This window comes from Homo sapiens, chromosome 11 (assembly GCF_000001405.40).
Source record: "Homo sapiens chromosome 11, GRCh38.p14 Primary Assembly".
In the NCBI taxonomy this organism is placed as follows: domain Eukaryota; kingdom Metazoa; phylum Chordata; class Mammalia; order Primates; family Hominidae; genus Homo; species Homo sapiens.
This window is the reverse complement of record NC_000011.10, coordinates 9,166,984-9,183,529: the sequence shown is the minus strand read 5'-3', so window position 1 is coordinate 9,183,529 and position 16,546 is coordinate 9,166,984. Positions and strand designations below refer to the sequence as shown.

General features: G+C 40.3%; 1 protein-coding gene across 5 annotated transcripts in view, besides 1 other annotated feature; it reads left to right on the top strand.

Annotated features, from left to right (window-relative positions):
• DENND5A (DENN domain containing 5A) overlaps positions 1 to 16,546 on the top strand; it is a 126,526-nt gene that overhangs the window by 81,821 nt on the left and 28,159 nt on the right. For all 5 annotated transcript variants that reach the window (NR_145966.2, NM_001348749.2, NM_001243254.2 and 2 more), the window contains 5 exons: positions 2,446 to 2,763; positions 4,457 to 4,672; positions 5,164 to 5,398; positions 12,753 to 12,903; positions 13,581 to 13,674. Coding sequence is in view for 4 of the 5 variants with exons in the window: in NM_001348749.2 (NP_001335678.1) it covers positions 2,446 to 2,763; positions 4,457 to 4,672; positions 5,164 to 5,398; positions 12,753 to 12,903; positions 13,581 to 13,674 (1,014 nt within the window). In the remaining variant the exon portion in view is untranslated. The remainder of the gene's footprint in view (positions 1 to 2,445; positions 2,764 to 4,456; positions 4,673 to 5,163; positions 5,399 to 12,752; positions 12,904 to 13,580; positions 13,675 to 16,546) is intronic.
• Positions 13,185 to 14,384: an enhancer, noted in NCBI's record as "CDK7 strongly-dependent group 2 enhancer chr11:9190693-9191892 (GRCh37/hg19 assembly coordinates)". NCBI's record gives its function as "activates an origin of replication core promoter dependent on BRD2, BRD4, P300/CBP, MED14 and CDK7 cofactors, with strong dependence on CDK7, by STARR-seq in HCT116 cells {active_cell/tissue: HCT116}" and the evidence as "EXISTENCE:reporter gene assay evidence [ECO:0000049][PMID:35650434]".

Genomic DNA, 16,546 nt, shown 5'->3' with positions numbered 1-16,546 from the left:
AGGAAGTCAAGGCTGCAGTGAGCCATGACTGTGCCACTGCACTCCAGACTGGGCAATAGAGCAAAACTCTGTCTCAAAAAAAAAAAAAAAGTTAAAAACCTGTATGAAATTTAAAAATATGTAAAAATTTAAAGGCATACATACATATATATAATAAATGTTGATTAACATTTATTATGTACTATGTGCCTGGCACTGTGCTAAATCCTTGACATTTATTGTTATATAATCCTCAAAACAAGTCTATGACATTGGTAATATTGTTATCTCTGTTACGTGAATGGAACAGAAGCACCCTTAAGCATTTAATAATGTGCTGCAATGAAGGCAATGTTGTCTTGGCTAGAACAGATTCATGAGTATAAGATAAATATACAAATATGAAAGGCTTCTGTAATTTATACCTGCAAGAACATTCCAACAGGGACAAGAACTACAAAGTATTTAAATATATATGTACACACACATTTTTATTGACACATAATTATACATATTTACAGGGTATGGTATATTTCAGTACATGTATGTAATGATCAAATGGGGGTGTATGTAATGATCAAATGGTAATTAGCATATCCATCATCTCAAACCTTTTTTATTTATTTATATTGGTAACATTCAGAATCCTCTTTTCTAGCTACTTGAAAAAATACAACAAATGTTTGTTGAGTGTAGTCACCCTACAGTGCTATAGAAGACTGCAATCCTCCTGTCTAGCCATAATTTTGTATTGGATAATCAGTCTCTTTCTATTCCTCCTCCTTGCCACCCTTCCCAGTCTCTGGTAACCACTCTTCTATTCTCTACTTCAGTGAGATCAACATATTTAGCTCCCACATACAAGTGAGAACATGTGGTATTTATCTTTCTGTGCCTAGCTTATTTCACTTAACATAATATGCTCCAGGCTCATCCATATTGCCATGAATGACAGGATTTCATTCATTTTTATGGTGGAATAGTATACCATTGTTAAACTACAAAGTATTTAAATTAAATGTACAAGACCGCTAAAGAGGAGAAGAGTAGATGGTTAAGAGCTTAAGCATATGACTGAAGTCAGGGTAGCTGAGTTCAAGTCCCAGCTGTACTAGTTAATAGCTGTGTGACTTTTGGCATGTTACTTAACCTCTCTGTGTCAGTTTTTGTCTGTAAAATAGGGATAGCTAGATACTGCTGCATTACTGTGGGGGTTTTTTGTTAGTTTGTTTTTTGAGAGGGAGTCTCACTCTCTTGCCCAGGCTGGAGTGCAGTGGCACAATCTCAGCTTACTGTAACCTCTGCCTCCTGGGTTCAAGCAATTGTTCTGCCTCAGCCTCCCGAGTAGCTGGGATTACAGGTGCCCATCACCACACCTGGCTACTTTTTGTACTTTTAGCAGAGATGGGGTTTCACCATGTTGGCCAGTCTGGTCTCAAACCTCTGACCTCAGGTGATCTGCCTCAGCCTCCCAAAGTGCTGGGATTACAGGCATGAACCACTGCTCCTGGCCCCTAAATTGTTTGTTAATCCAGATTATCTACCCCATCAGCAGTGTGTGAGCACTATCTCTTTACATTCTCTCAGAAGCAATTTTAAATCCAGAAGGAAGCACAGAAAGAACAAAGATCAGCCACTAAACCTTACAAATTAAGACTGAGGCTCAGAAAGAGAGAATGGTATATCCAGGGTCATAGAGGGAGATCATAACAGAGTCAAATCTGGAACCTAGACTTTTTGAACTCACTCCTAGGGTTCTTTTCACTGAGTATAGAATTCACAAATTCACCAGGAATTTATTTTTTATTTTTTGAGACAGAGTCTCACTCTGTTGCCCAGGCTGGAGTGCAGTGGTGTGATCATGGCTCACTGCAGCCTCAGCTTCTTGGGCTCAGGTGATCCCTCCTACCTCAGCCTCTCAAGTAGCTGGGACTGTAGGTGCATGCCACCATCCCTGGCTAATTTTTGCATTTTTTTGTAGAGACTGGGTTTCTCCATGTTGCCCAGACCAGTCTGGGCAACAGTCTGGGTTCAAGTGATCCGCCCATCTCAGCCTCCCAGAGTGTTGGCATTGCAGATGTGAGCCACTGCGCCTGGCCTTTACCAAACATTTAATGAGTGTTTACCATGTGTGAGACTTTTGTGTTTGATGCTAAACATCTATGACATTATAAAATCTTCACCACTCTAACATACATTGTTTATCTCTTTATCTCCATTTTACAGCTAAGGAAATAGAATCAGAAAGGTTAAGTAACTTTCCTAAGGTCACACAACGAGAATGTGGCAGGGTAATATTGGAACTCAAGTCTGTCTTATTTCTGAGCCCTATCTTCCTTATACCATATCTCAAATATAGCCATTTCAGGTGTTTTGTTTTTGCCCTCTTGTTCACTAACCTTTCTAAAACTTCTTCCTGTAATGCTCTGGAGTTATTCATACTCCTCATCCTGTTTTGACTTCCAGGCTAACCTCTGCTTTGTGGACATTGACAACCACTTCATTGAGTTGCCAGAGGACTTGCCACAGTTCCCCAACAAATTGGAGTTTGTCCAGGAAGTCTCTGAGATTCTCATGGCATTTGGAATTCCCCCTGAAGGGAATCTTCATTGCAGTGAGAGTGCCTCCAAGCTGAAGAGGCTGCGGGCCTCTGAGCTTGTCTCGGACAAGAGGAATGGGAACATTGCTGGCTCCCCTTTGCATTCCTACGAGCTTCTTAAGGAGAATGAAACTATTGCCCGGCTGCAAGCCTTGGTCAAGAGAACTGGGGTGAGCCTGGAAAAGGTAAGATGTGTATATGAGTCTGTGACACGTGTGATCTGTGCTAGGGTGCTGTCCTGGTGAAGTAAGGTATGGGATGAGAAAGCACCCAGTTCTGGACAACTCATATTTGTGAGCAGTGAAAGAATGTTCTGTATGGGGGACTCTGAATTCCATCTGGCAGATGTTATCCTAGTAAATGCTACTTTAATCTAAATCTGAGTAGCTTCCGCTTTGAACATCAGGGAGAGTCTGCCATCATTCTATGTGAACACTACAGCACAGTGATTGGAGAGACCATGATAGTAATCTTAGTGTTCAGACCTCTTTTATTTTTTGAGAGAGGTTCTTACTCTGTCACTCAGGCTGGAGTGTGGTGGCACGGTCACGGCTCACTGCAGCCTCAATCTCCTGGGCTCAGGTGATCCTTCTGCCTCAGCCTCTCAAGTAGCTGGGACCACAGGTGCATGCCACCACACCCAATTATTATTATTTTTTTTTTGTAGAGGCAGGGTCTCACTATGTTGCTCAGCTAGTCTCAAACTTCCGGGCTCAAGCAGTCCTCCAGCCTTGCCTCCCAAAGTGGTGGGATTATAAGTGTGAGCCACCGTGCCAGGCCCAGATCTCTTTTAGATCCATTGCCCTTTGAGTTTCACAGCAACCTAAGGCAGATAGAACAGGTTTTATAGCCAAAGAAACCAAGGCTTAGAGAGCCTAAGTGTTTTGCCCAAGATTAAATGCCTAATATGTAGCTGAGCTGAGCCTAGAATCTAGTCCTCTTGAATTCTCACTGTTAAATTACTTTCGTAAGTTACTTATAAACCAATGGGCCAATGTAATAATCTTGTTGGGCTGTTTTTTAGTGAAATATTTCATTTTTTCTGCTTTAGTGGAGCAGATTTTTTTTTTGCTTAGTAGACTAGATATTTTTCAAAAATCATGGGCAGTTAAAGAGGAACAGAAATATTTGGTGAGATTAAAAAGGTGTTTTGGGCTGGATGCGGTGGCTCACGCCTGTAATCCCAGCACTTTGGGAGGCTGAGGTGGGAGGATCACCAGAGGTTGGGAGTTCGAGACCAGTCTGACCAACATGGAGACACCCCGTCTCTACTGAAAATACAAAATTAGCCGGGCGTGGTGGCGCATGCCTGTAATCCCAGCTACTGGGGAGGGTGAGGTAGGAGAATCACTTGAACCTGGGAGGCAGAGGTTGCGGTGAGCCGAGATGGCGCCATTGCACTCCAGCCTGGGCAACAAGAGCGAAACTCTGTCTCAAAAAAAAAAAAAAAAGGTTTTTTTGCAGAAAGAAGGAAAGTGATATGAGGGAAAAAATAAAAAATCAAGAGAGCCAGAATTTAACCTTGTTGGTTTGTTAAATTGACCTCCCACATTCCTTCCTTTCTCCCTGACCTTTGAGATAATTAGCACCTTTTCTTTCATGGCAGAATCTCTCTCTGCCCATAAAGATCTTATCTCCACTTTCATTGAGTTGTTGGATATCTTTAAGTGAAACTCTTTGACTTTTCTCTCCTCTGTGTCTGAGTCCCTTTCCTTTTATTTATTTATTTTTTCCAGTTTTTCCTCTTTTGTTCTCATCATTTCCTGCTAAGTAAATTAGCACTGTAAAAAAAAATCAGATAAAAAAATCAGGAATTGCATTCCTTGGGTTAAAAGGAAAAAGTGTATGTGTTCTCAACTGCTTTTTCTTTTTTTGTAGTTGGAAGTGCGTGAAGACCCCAGCAGCAATAAGGATCTCAAAGTTCAGTGTGATGAAGAAGAACTCAGGATTTACCAGCTAAACATTCAGATCCGGGAAGTTTTTGCAAATCGTTTCACTCAGATGTTTGCAGATTATGAGGTGTTTGTCATCCAACCCAGCCAGGATAAGGAATCCTGGTTTACCAACAGGGAGCAAATGCAAAACTTTGATAAAGTGAGTGTAATCCTGCTTGGGAGGTGGTGAGGAATGAGAACTTGCCAGTTATGTCTTGAAGAAGTAATGGAAAATTACTCGAAGAAGTAATGGAAGATTATCATATGCTGGAAACAAGTTTATGGTCCATTTGATGTTGATAAAATAGGTCTTGTTGCTTATGAATAGATGTGCTGATTATTATTATCAGACGATTTACCTTCAGCCAAAGGGATCTCTTAAGGCAAAGATAGACATGTAGAGTGAACATCAGGATTCTGGGAAGATTGGTTGACTCAGTAGGTTACCCAAGTGAGTTTGTTCCAGTGTCAAAGTTTCAAGATACCTGAACTTACATGAGTGGGTTTTTTTTTTTTTAATGTAGAGATTTTGCAGCTTGGTATTCTTAAAGACCTAGGCAGCCTCAGAGAATAATTAACCTACTGGATCCCTTGGGCACATTGACATTACCCTTTTCCCTGTCAATTACTGCTTCTTTTTGGTCCCACCAGGCATCTTTTCTGTCAGATCAGCCTGAGCCCTACCTGCCCTTCCTCTCAAGATTCCTGGAGACCCAGATGTTTGCATCTTTCATTGACAACAAAATAATGTGTCATGATGATGATGATAAAGACCCTGTACTCCGGGTATTTGATTCCCGAGTTGACAAGATCAGGCTGTTGAATGTTCGGACACCTACTCTCCGTACATCCATGTACCAGAAGTGTACCACTGTGGATGAAGCAGGTAAGGCCTCCTTGGAAATGTACATTCAGGCCTCTTGGATTATGGCATTAACATGTCCCTTTTCCTAAATATGCCAGCCTCTTTATCTGTTTCTGCCTTTGTGTATGTGGTTCCCATTGCCTGCAGTCTTCTTCCTTGTTTTCTTTTTGCCTGGTTATCTTCTTCTCATCCTTTAACACTGTTAGTTAGGAATGGATCTCATTGTATGTAGTAGAGACCCTAATCAGCAGTGGGTTAAACAAATAGGGGGTTCTTTTTCTTATATTAGCAAGAAGTACACAATTGGTGGTTGCTGGGGTTGGCTCAGCTGCTCAACCATGTAAACAAGAACTGAGATTCTGTCTTTTTATTCAGTGAATCCTTGTTGTTGGCTTTTATGGTCATACTGTTGCCTCATTTTTTTTTTTTTTAAATGATGTCAATGAAAGCCTCATGGTTACAGAAGCTCTTTCTTTTCTGCCCTTTTTTCTGCCTGTGTGACAGGGTCTCTCTCTGTCACCCAGGCTAAAATGCAGTGGTGTGAACATAGCTCACTGCAGCTTTTGAACTCTTGGGCTCAAGTGATTCTCTTGCCTCAGCCTCCCAAGCAACTGGGACTACAGGCATGTGCTCCCATGCCTGGCTAATTAAAAAATTTTTTTTTTTTGTGGAGACAAGGTTTTGCTATGCTCCGTCTGGTCTTCAATTTTTGCGTTCAAGTGATCCTCCTGTCTTGGCCTCCCAAAGTGTTGGCATTACGCGCATGAACCACCACACCCAGCTCCAGCCCCAGAAGCTTTTCATATTCACATTCGAGGCAAGAAGAGGGGAAGGTTGATGCCGGCTATATTCACCATTCCACCTTTTTTTTTTTTCTTTCTTTCTTTTTTTTTTTTTTCGAGACAGGGTCTCACTCAGTTGCCTAGGCTGGAGGGTAGTGGTGCGATTATGGCTCGCCACAGCCTTGACTTCCTAGGCTCAAGCAATTCTCTCACCTCAGTCTCCCGTGTAGCTAGGACTGCAGGCACATACCACCATACCTGGCTAATTTTTTATATTTTTTAGAGACAGAGTCTCGCCATGTTGCCCAGGCTGGCCTCGAACTCTTGGGCTCAAGCAGTTCTCCCACCTCTGCATTCCAAAGTGCTAGGATTATAGGCGTTAGCCACTGTGCCCAGCCTATTTTTCCCACTTTTATCAGAAAGGAAAAGCTTTCCCAGAAATTTCTAACAACTTTCATTGTCTCATAGGCCAAAATCATATTATATGATCAACCTCAAGTGCATGGGAAGCTGTGAAAGTGAACATTGAACTGGGTATAATGTTACCCTGAACAGTATGAAGGTCTATGAGCAAGAAAGAAGGGGTGAATGAATTATGAGTAAGCAGTTGATGGTATTTGCCACACAAACCTAGCAGATACATTTCCTTCTCTATGAAACCTTCTCTGATGCCCCCAGACTGAGTCAGTTGATTCTTCTTCTCTGTTCCTGTGGTGCTTTGTGCATGCTTTTACTCAATAATCTCTACTTTTTCTAGCTATCATTATTGGGGAACAGCTTAAGGACAGAGATTGTATTTACTCATTTTCTTACCCCCATTCTTCTGGCATTGTACCCAGCATGTAGGGATGTTATAATCTACACAAATGATTGAACATGTCCTTTTGTTCAGAGGACTCATCTACATTAGTTTAGCTAGAGAATGGTTTCAGCTTGAAGTACTAGATTAAGTAGTGTGTTCACTTCCTGCAGGATGTTCAGTGTCCTTGTTAAGGCATTTTTGTATATTTTGGTCACTCATTTGCTGCATTTTATAACTACCTACCAGATGCCAAATGTATGGCAAGTCTTCAAGAAATATTTGCCAGATGAATGAATTTGCCAGGCTTGTTTCTAGGCTTTGAAGATATAACTGCTGACAGTTTAGACAAAGTCTTGCATTTTCTAGTTCAAAGTCTTACATTTTCTAGTTCAGGAACCTATGTTCTAACTGAGTTAAAGTAGTCTAATTGCATGGACAACTTGTCCTCAAGCCTTTGCCAAAAGGACTTTGCCAAAAGGTCATCTTAATGAGGGTCCTGGAACAGGAATGAAAGGTAAAGAGAGAAGACTAGAAAATGTAAGGGAGACGTGATTTTGATTTGTGTGTGCCTAATTGTCTTTTTGAGAACAAAATCTTTTATTTTGATGAGGCCCAATTTATCAGTTGGATTATACTTTTATTGTATCTAAGACACTTTTGCCCTACCAAGGTCACATAGAGATTTTACCCTATATTTCCCTGTAGAAGTTTTATAGTTTTAGGTTTTACGTTCAAGTCTCTGATCCATTTCAAGTTAATTTTGTAAGTAGTATAAGTTATGCGTCCATTTTTTTTTCATATAGATATTCATCTGTTGAAAAGACCATCCTTTCTCTAATGAATTGCCTTTTTGCTTTTGTCAAAATGTTATTAGTCTGTATATGTGTTCGTCTACTTCTGGATTCTCTGTTCTGTTTCATTGATCTGTTGGTCTACATTTATACCAATACCACACTGTCTTGATTACTGTAGCTTACATTAAATGATTACTGTAGCTTATATTAAATCTTGAAATCAAGTAGTGTTAATCTTGTAACTTTGTTCTTTTCAAAGTTGTTTTGGCTATTCTGGGTTCTTTGTATTTCCATACATATTTAGAGTCAACTTGCCAACTTCTGCAAAGAAACCTTTCAAGATTTTGATTGATATTTGACATCCTAACAGTACCGAGTCTTCTGATCCATTAACATGGCATATCTTTCCATTTATTTAGGTCATCTTTAATTTTTCTCAACAGCATTATGTACTTTTCAGGGTACAGGTTTTATATGTCTTATCAGATTTTTCCCTAAGTAGTTCATATTTTTTGGTGTTATTTTAAATTGTTTTGTGTTATATAAATTTGGTGCTATTTTATTGCTTTCTTAATTTTAATTTCTAATTGTTCATTGCTAGTATATAGAACTATAATAGCATTTTGTATGTTTATATTGTGTCCTGCAACCATACTAAACTAACTTTTAATAGCTTTTTTGTACATCCATCAGATTTTCTACATAGACAGTCATATTACCTGTGAATAATGATAGTTTTACTTTTCCTTTCCACCACCCTGGATACCTTTTATTTCTTTTCCTTTTCTTTTTCTTCTTCTTCTTATTTATTTATTTTTTTTCTGTATTACACTGGCTTGAACCTCTAGTACGAAGTCAAATAGAAGTGGTGAGAGTGGGCATCTTATTCCTTTGTTTTTCATAGATAACCTTTAGCAGTTAAGGATCTTACTAGTTTGTTCAGCGTTTTTATCTGAGGTGGATGTTGAATTTTGTCAAATGCTTTTTCTGTATCTATCAAGGTAATTATATGGTTTTTAGCTTTAGTTTGTTAATATGGTGAATTATATTGATTTTTTTTGTTGTTGTTTTAATGTTGATGGGGTCTCGCTCTGTTGCTCAGGCTAGAGTGCAGTGGTGTGGCCGTGGTTTTCTGTAACTTTGAACTAGTGGGCTGAAGGGATCCTCTCGTCTTAGCTTCTCAAGTAGCTAGGACAGTAGATGTGTGCCGCCATGCCTGGCTAATTTTTAATTTTTTTTTCTAAAAAAAAAAAAAAAAGAAATAACCTTCTTTATTCAGAGTAATATTCTTTACTGTGAAATCTGTTTTGTCTGATATTAATAACTACTCCAGCTTTCTTTTGACTAGTGCTAACAGGGCATATCTTTGTCATTATTTTACTTTTAATCTATTTGTGTCTTTATATTTAAAGGGTATTTATTGTAGGCAGCATGTAATTGGGTTTTGCATTTTTATCCAATTTGACAGTTTCCGGTTTTTAACTGAGGTCTTCAGACCATGTACATTTAATATGATTATTGATATTGCTGGGTTTAAGCCTGTCATTTTGCTGTTTGTTTTCTATTTGTCCCATCTGTTCTTTGTTCCCTTTTCTTCTTTTTCTGCCCTCTTGTGTACTAATTGAATATTTTCAATTTTTTTTTCTTTTTTTTTTTTTTTTTTTTTTTTTTTGAGACGGAGTCTTGCTCTATCGCCCAGGCTGGAGTGCAGTGGCGAGATCTAGGCTCACTGCAACTTCTGCCTTCCGGGTTCACGCCATTCTCCTGCCTCAGCCTCCCGAGTAGCTGGGACTACAGGCGCTCGCCACTGCGCAGCCCAGCTAATTTTTTGTATTTTTAGTAGAGACGGGGTTTCACCGTGGTCTTGATCTCTTGATCTCCTGACCTCGTGATCCGCCCGCCTCGGCCTCCCAAAGTGCTGGGATTACAGGCGTGAGCCACTGCACCCGGCCTTTCAATTTTTTTTATGATTTCATTTTATCTACTTTGTTGGTTTACTAGCTATAACTTGTGTTATTTTAGCAGTTGCTTTAGGATTTATAGTACACATTTAACTTATCACAGTCTACTTTTAGGTGATACAATATCACTTTCCACATAGTATAAGAACTGTACAGAACTGCCAGGCACAGTCATGTGCACCCATACTCCCAGCTGTTTGGTAAGCTGAAGGGGGAGGGTTGCCTGAGCCCAGGAGTTTGAGTCCAACTTGGATCACATGATGAGACCCTGTCTCTAAACAACAACAAAAAGAACTTCACAAAACTCTATTTCCATTTCTCTCTTCCTAGCCGACGTGCTATTGTCATCTATTTTACTTTTACATATGTCATAAACCTAACACTACATGGTCATTTTTGTTTAAACAGTCAATTACCTTTTAAAGGGATTTGAATAATAAGTACAAAATCTAATACATTAACTGTGTAGTTAGCATTTCTGGTGCTCTTCTTTCTTTTCTGTAGATCCATACTTCCATCTGGCATTATTTTCCTACTGCCAGAAGGACTTCCTTTAACATTTCTTGTAGTGTAGATCTGCTGGTGATGAATTCTTTCAGCTTTTGTAATTCTTTTGTCTTTGAAAGGTATTTTCCCTGAGTATAGGTTAATAGCTTTTTCCTTTCAGTACTCTAAAGATGTTGCTCCAGGCCAGGCGCGGTGGCTCACTCCTGTAATCCCAGCACTTTGGGAGTCTGAGGTGGGCAGAACACTTGAGGTCAGGAGTTTGAGACCAGCCTGGCCAACATGGTGAAACCCCGTTGCTACTAAACATATAAAAAAAAAAAAAAATTAGCCAGGCATGATAGTACGTGCTTGTAGTCCAAGCTACTCAGGAGGCTGAGGCACAAGAATTGCTTGAACCCGGAAGGTGGAGGTTGTAGTGAGCCAAGATCACACCACAGCACTCTAGCCCGGGCGACAGAATGAGACCCTGTCTCAAAAAAATAAAAATAAAAAAAAGATGTCGCTCCTCTGTCTTCTCACTTTATAATTAGTTTATTCTCATGCTGCTATGAAGAAATACCCAAGACTGGGTAATTTGTAAAGGAAAGAGGTTTAATTGACTCAGTTCCGCATGGCTGGGAATGCCTCAAGAAACTTACAAGCATGGTGGAAGGCACCTCTTCACAGCACAGCAGGAGAGAGAATGAGTACCAGGAGGGCAAATGCCAGATGCTTATGAAACCATCACATCTATGAGAACTCACTCACTATCGCGAGAATAGCATGAGGGAAACCGCCCCTGTGATTCAGTTACCTCCCACTGGGTCCCTCCCACCACACATGGGGATTATTACAGTTCAAGTTGAGATTTGGGTGCGGACATGGAGCCAAACCATATTACACTTCCATTGTTTTCTGATAAGAAATCTGCTGTCATCCTTAATTTTGATCTTCTCTATATACAAAATGTCTACTTTCTCTACCAGATTTTAAGATTTTCTTTTTATCACTGATTTTGAGCAATTTGATTATGATGTGGCTTGGTGTAGTTTCCTTCATGATTCTTGTGCTTGCAGCTCATTGTGCTTTTTAGATCTGTGGATTTTTTGTTTACGTCAAATTTGTAAAAATTCTGGCCAGTATTTCTTCTAGTAATTTTTCTGTTCTCCCCATCCCTACCTTAGGGACTGCAGTTACACATACATGTAATATCTGGGATTGCGTAGTTATCCCAGAACCGCTGATACTCTTTTAATGGCAACAGTTTTTTCTCTCTCTCTGTGGCTTCTTTGGGATCATTTCTCTTGCTATGGCTTCAAGCTCACTTATTTTTTCTCCTGCATTGTTGAGTGTGCTTTTAACCCAGCCCGTGTATTTTTCATCTCAGATATTACAGCTTTCATCTTCAGAAGTTTGAGTTCCATGTTTCTAGTTTTTTGTTGTTGATGTTGTTTGTTTGTTTGTTTTTAAGAGGTTCTGCTTTGTTGCCCAGGCTGGAGTGCGGTAGTGTAATTATAGCTCACCATAACCTTAAACTCCTGGGCTCAAGTGATCTTCTGGCCTTGGCCTCCTGAATAGCTAGGAATAAAGGTGTATGCCACCATGTCTGGCTCATTTTTTTTTTTTTTTTGAAGAGATGAGGTCTCACTATGTTGCCCAGGCTGGTCTTGAAGTCCTGGCCTTAAATGATACCCTCACTTTGGCCTCCCAGAGTGCTGGGATTACAGGCGTAAGCTATCAGGCCCTGGTAATCTTTGATTAGATGCCAGACACTGTGAATTTTACTATTTGAGTCCTGGACACTTCCATATTCCTATAAATATTCTCAGTCTTTGTTCTGGGATGTAGTTAAGTTACTTAGAAATAATTTGATTTCTTTGTGCTTTCCTCTGGCAGGACCAGAGCATCCTTTAGGCTGTGATTAATTATCTACTACTGAGGCAAGACCCTCTGAGTACTTTACTCAGTGCCCCATGAGTGATTAGGTTTTCTAGTCTGGCAGGTGGGGACAGGCATTATTCCCAGCCCTGTGTGAGCATTTTGTATTGTTTCTCCTAATCCTTTCCGGTGATTCTTTCTCCAGCCTTGAGTAGTTTCTTTACTTGCGTGAACTGACCCATTACCCTGCTGAATGCCCTGCAGATCCCCTGGATTCTCTCTCTTCTCTGGTACTGTTCATATGAACTCTAGCCACCTTGGTCTCCTTAACTCAGGGAGTCCACCAGTCTCTGCCTAGAACTCCCCTCCCTGTGCCACAGCCTGGAAGCTTTCTCTAAGCAGTTAGCTGGGATAGTTCTAGGGGTTACCTCATTTGTTACCTGTTTCTCAGGGTCCTGCCCTTCATTGCCTGATGTCCAGTATTCTGAAGTTTATCATTTTATATTATTTTGCATGGGTTTTTTCCTATTAGGCAGGAAAATCAGTCCCTTTTACTCTATCTTGGCTGGAAATGGAAGAGTAGCTAGATTCTTAAAGAATGTTTGACTTGATTTATTTGTGTGTGTATTTATGTGTGTGTGTGTGTGTGTGTGTGTGTGTATTCTCATCCAGAGAAAGCAATTGAGCTGCGTCTGGCAAAAATTGACCATACTGCAATTCACCCACATTTACTTGACATGAAGATTGGACAAGGGAAATATGAGCCGGGCTTCTTCCCTAAGCTGCAGTCTGATGTACTTTCCACTGGGCCAGCCAGCAACAAGTGAGTCAACCCCAGGGATTCACTAATCCAACTCCCTAGCTGTAATAGGGTCATCTAGTATCTGGGCTAGGGCTGTTACCCCTAGAAGACCTTGTACTTTTCTAAAGCAGATATGGAGAAGACCCAGACTATCTAGGTGGTTTGCTTATTTGAACAAGAAAGTATGTGACAGAATATCTTTCAGTTCTGCCTCCACTATGCAGATTGGGATAGCTCCATATGTCTAGGACCTGCAAAAAGCTGCAGATGGGTTAAAATCATCTCATGCCTGGATCCCATTCAACAGCAAGCTAGCATTGTATTTAATAAATGGCAGTTGAAATAATCAGAACCTGAACTGAAAAGTAGGTAAGTTAGCAGAATTACTCATTAGTTACTTTTGAAGATGACTGTATCAAAGCCCAGATAGAGTTAAGTGAATATAGTTTTAGATCTATATGTCAAGTGTTTGTAGATGTTTCAAGAGAGACATGTTCCATGAGGAGGTGTCTCTCTCATGTCCAGTCACTCATCTTTAATCTGCTCTTCCTCAAGGTCTCTGAGCTGTCTCTGGTGACATCTAGGTCATTTCCTGTGTCCAGCATTGACTCGTAGTCATTCATGTTTTCTCCTGTTAGTTGACATTGCTTTTTAAGTGAGACATTATTAATTGCCTGCTTTGGTTCTGATTGTGTTAGGTGGACGAAAAGGAATGCCCCTGCCCAGTGGAGGCGGAAAGATCGGCAGAAGCAGCACACAGAACACCTGCGTTTAGATAATGACCAGAGGGAGGTAAGATACCTTAAGAATGATAAGGATGACCTTGCTATCATGCTGTGCACTCCTTCTCTTTCTCATTTCCTGTTCTCTGGTCTGATTCAAACGTCTCAGCAATGACCTCACCCCATAAAGAAGGGTTAATAATAGGTCTAGTTCCTGATATCTAATGCTGGGCCTGGGTTATCACAAATCAGAATGTGGGATGTTTTGCAAATTCCAGCTAGCTACTAACCGATTGTAATTTCTCATGCATGATGCTCCCTGAGGAGTTCAATAGGAACCTCAGAAGTTAAGAGTCTGAAACTTGGGAGAAATCCTTTAAAAATTGGTGTGAGTTTTGTGTGTGTGTGTGTGTGTGTGTGTGTGTGTGTGCGTGTGTATATAGGAAAAAAGTTAATTTTTTTTAATTCTTTTTTTGTTTGAGACAGAGTCTCGCTTTTATCGCCCAGGCTGGAGTGCAGTGGAGCGATCTCGGCTCACTGCAGCCTCCATCTCCTGGGTTCAAGCAATTCCCCTGCCTCAGCCTCTTGAGTAGCTGGAATTACAGGCACCACCTCAACGCGCAGATAATTTCTGTATTTTTAGTAGAGACGGGGTTTCACCACGTTGGCCAGGCTGGTCTCAAACACCTGACCTCAGGTAATCCGCCTGCCTCATCCCCGCAAAGTGCTGGGATTATAGGTGTGAGCTACTGCGCCCAGCCCAGAAAGAAGTTAATTTTGTTAGAGTTTTTTTCCTACTGTTTCTTACCTTAAATTGAAACAGATAATCTTGACTTTTTTTTTCTTCTTCTTCTTTAAAAGACTAAAGGAGAGGAACATTATTATCAGGTACCTGGAAACCCAAGATTCTTGAATTTACCTCCTGAATCTTCATTGCTTGTAAGCTGAGTTTCTCAGCTCTACTGTAACTTGCTTCTTAAGTTTCTAGTTATAAACTTCAGGTTGTAGACCCTGCCTTACTTAGTTGCAAAGAAGTTGTGAAAATGAGTGTTAACTTCAGAAGCCTATTTCAGTAACTTATCTTTGAGAAAAGACCCTGTAATTTTCATCTTGCACAGAGAGAACCCAAGAAGGCATACTGTTTTCATGTGTCTGGCAGCTCAGTGAATTGGAAAATAAATAACATATTCTCCCTTTGCTATGTTTTTAATGAATAAATTAAAATTGTAAGATATGGTTATGAATCTTCAACTGCTGATTTATAGGATACAGTTGCACTGGGATTTTTTTTTTTGTGAGAGTAGCATAAGAAATTTTGGTTATTTGTGTTATTTTAAAAGTCTGTCTTCCACCTAACCTCCTCATTACTATTTTCAGCAGTGTTTATTGACCACATTTTCTTGGTCAGAATCACTGAGTGTATTAGTCTGTTTTCATGTTGCTGATAAAGGACATACACAAGACTGGGCAATTTACAAAAGAAAGATTTAATGGACTCACAGTTCCACATGGCTGGGGAGGCTTCACAATCATGGTGGACAGCAAGGAGGGAGCAAGTCACGTCTTAACGTGGATGGCAGTGGGCAAAGAGAGAGCTTGTGCAGGGAAATTCCCCCTTATAAAACCATCAGATCTCATGAGACTTATGCACTATCACGAGAACAGCTCAGGAAAGATCTACCCCCGTGACTCAGTTACCTCCCACTGGGTCCCTCCCACAACATGTGGGAATTGTAGGAGCTACAATTCAAGATGAGATTTGGATGGGGTCACAGCCAAACCATATCACTGAGGTATCAAGGAATTCTTTGCTAAAGACAAAAAAAAAAAAAATCACTGAGGTTAACACTTTGAAATACAAAGGTGACAAAAGAGGTTAGTCTTGTCCTCAGGGAATACCAGTTGATATAAGGGAGCAAAATCAGATAGAAAGATAACTTCAAGAGAATAAGCTTTTGAAATGACCATATGAGGAGCAAACCAATGTTTGATTACTGATTAGAGAAAGCAGAGGTTACTTCTACTTGGGGTCATCATCAAACAAGATGATTTGGAAGAGGAGCAAGCATCTCTTTAAGCCTTAGAGAATGATGGGATTGTTAGAAGAGCTTTTATTTTATTTTGAAATGGGGTCTTACTCTGTCACCCAGGTTGGAGTGCAATGGTGTAACCTTGGCTCACTGCAACCTCTGCCTCCAAGGCTCAGGTGATCCTCCCACCTCAGCCTCTCTAGTAGCTGGGACCACAGGCACACGCCACCATTCCTGGCTAATTGTTTGTTGTTGTTGTTTTGGTCTTTTTTGTATTTTTGGTAGAGACAGGGTTTCTTCATGTTGCCCAGGATGGTCTCAAACTTCTGAGCTCAAGTGATCCACTCGCCTCAGTGCTGGGATTACAGGCCAGAGTCACTGCTCCTGGCTGTTTTTCTTTTTCTTTTTTTTTTTTTTTTTAATCTTTCATCTCCCTGGAGCTATAAGAAGAGCATTTCAAGTAGAGGACATGGCAGGATCTAAAGTTTGGTGTGTAAATGTGTAAAGGAGGCTGTGGGCAGAATATTTTGGAGGAGGGTGGTATGGAGATAGCTAACAAGTTAGGAGACAGGTAACAGCAGTCCAAGTAATAGTAATTGGACCCTAACCTTGGGGGGTTGGTAGTAGAGATAGATTAAGGGGCCATAAGATAGAATGGACAGAGTTATGCCACTGGAATAAATATGGGGGAAGGGAGAAGTTTAGGGTAAAAATGTTGGTTATGAACCTACTGAGAGGATATCAGATTGCATTTTACTGCATTGATGTGGGTTCTGTGTTAAACAACATATGAAGAAGAATCACCAGCACATTATACAAAATAATTGCAGTTGTTGTTTTGAGTGTGCAATCTTATTTTCCAGGCCTTAATTTTATACTTTATGATAGAAAGGGTAGATATCTTTGATACGG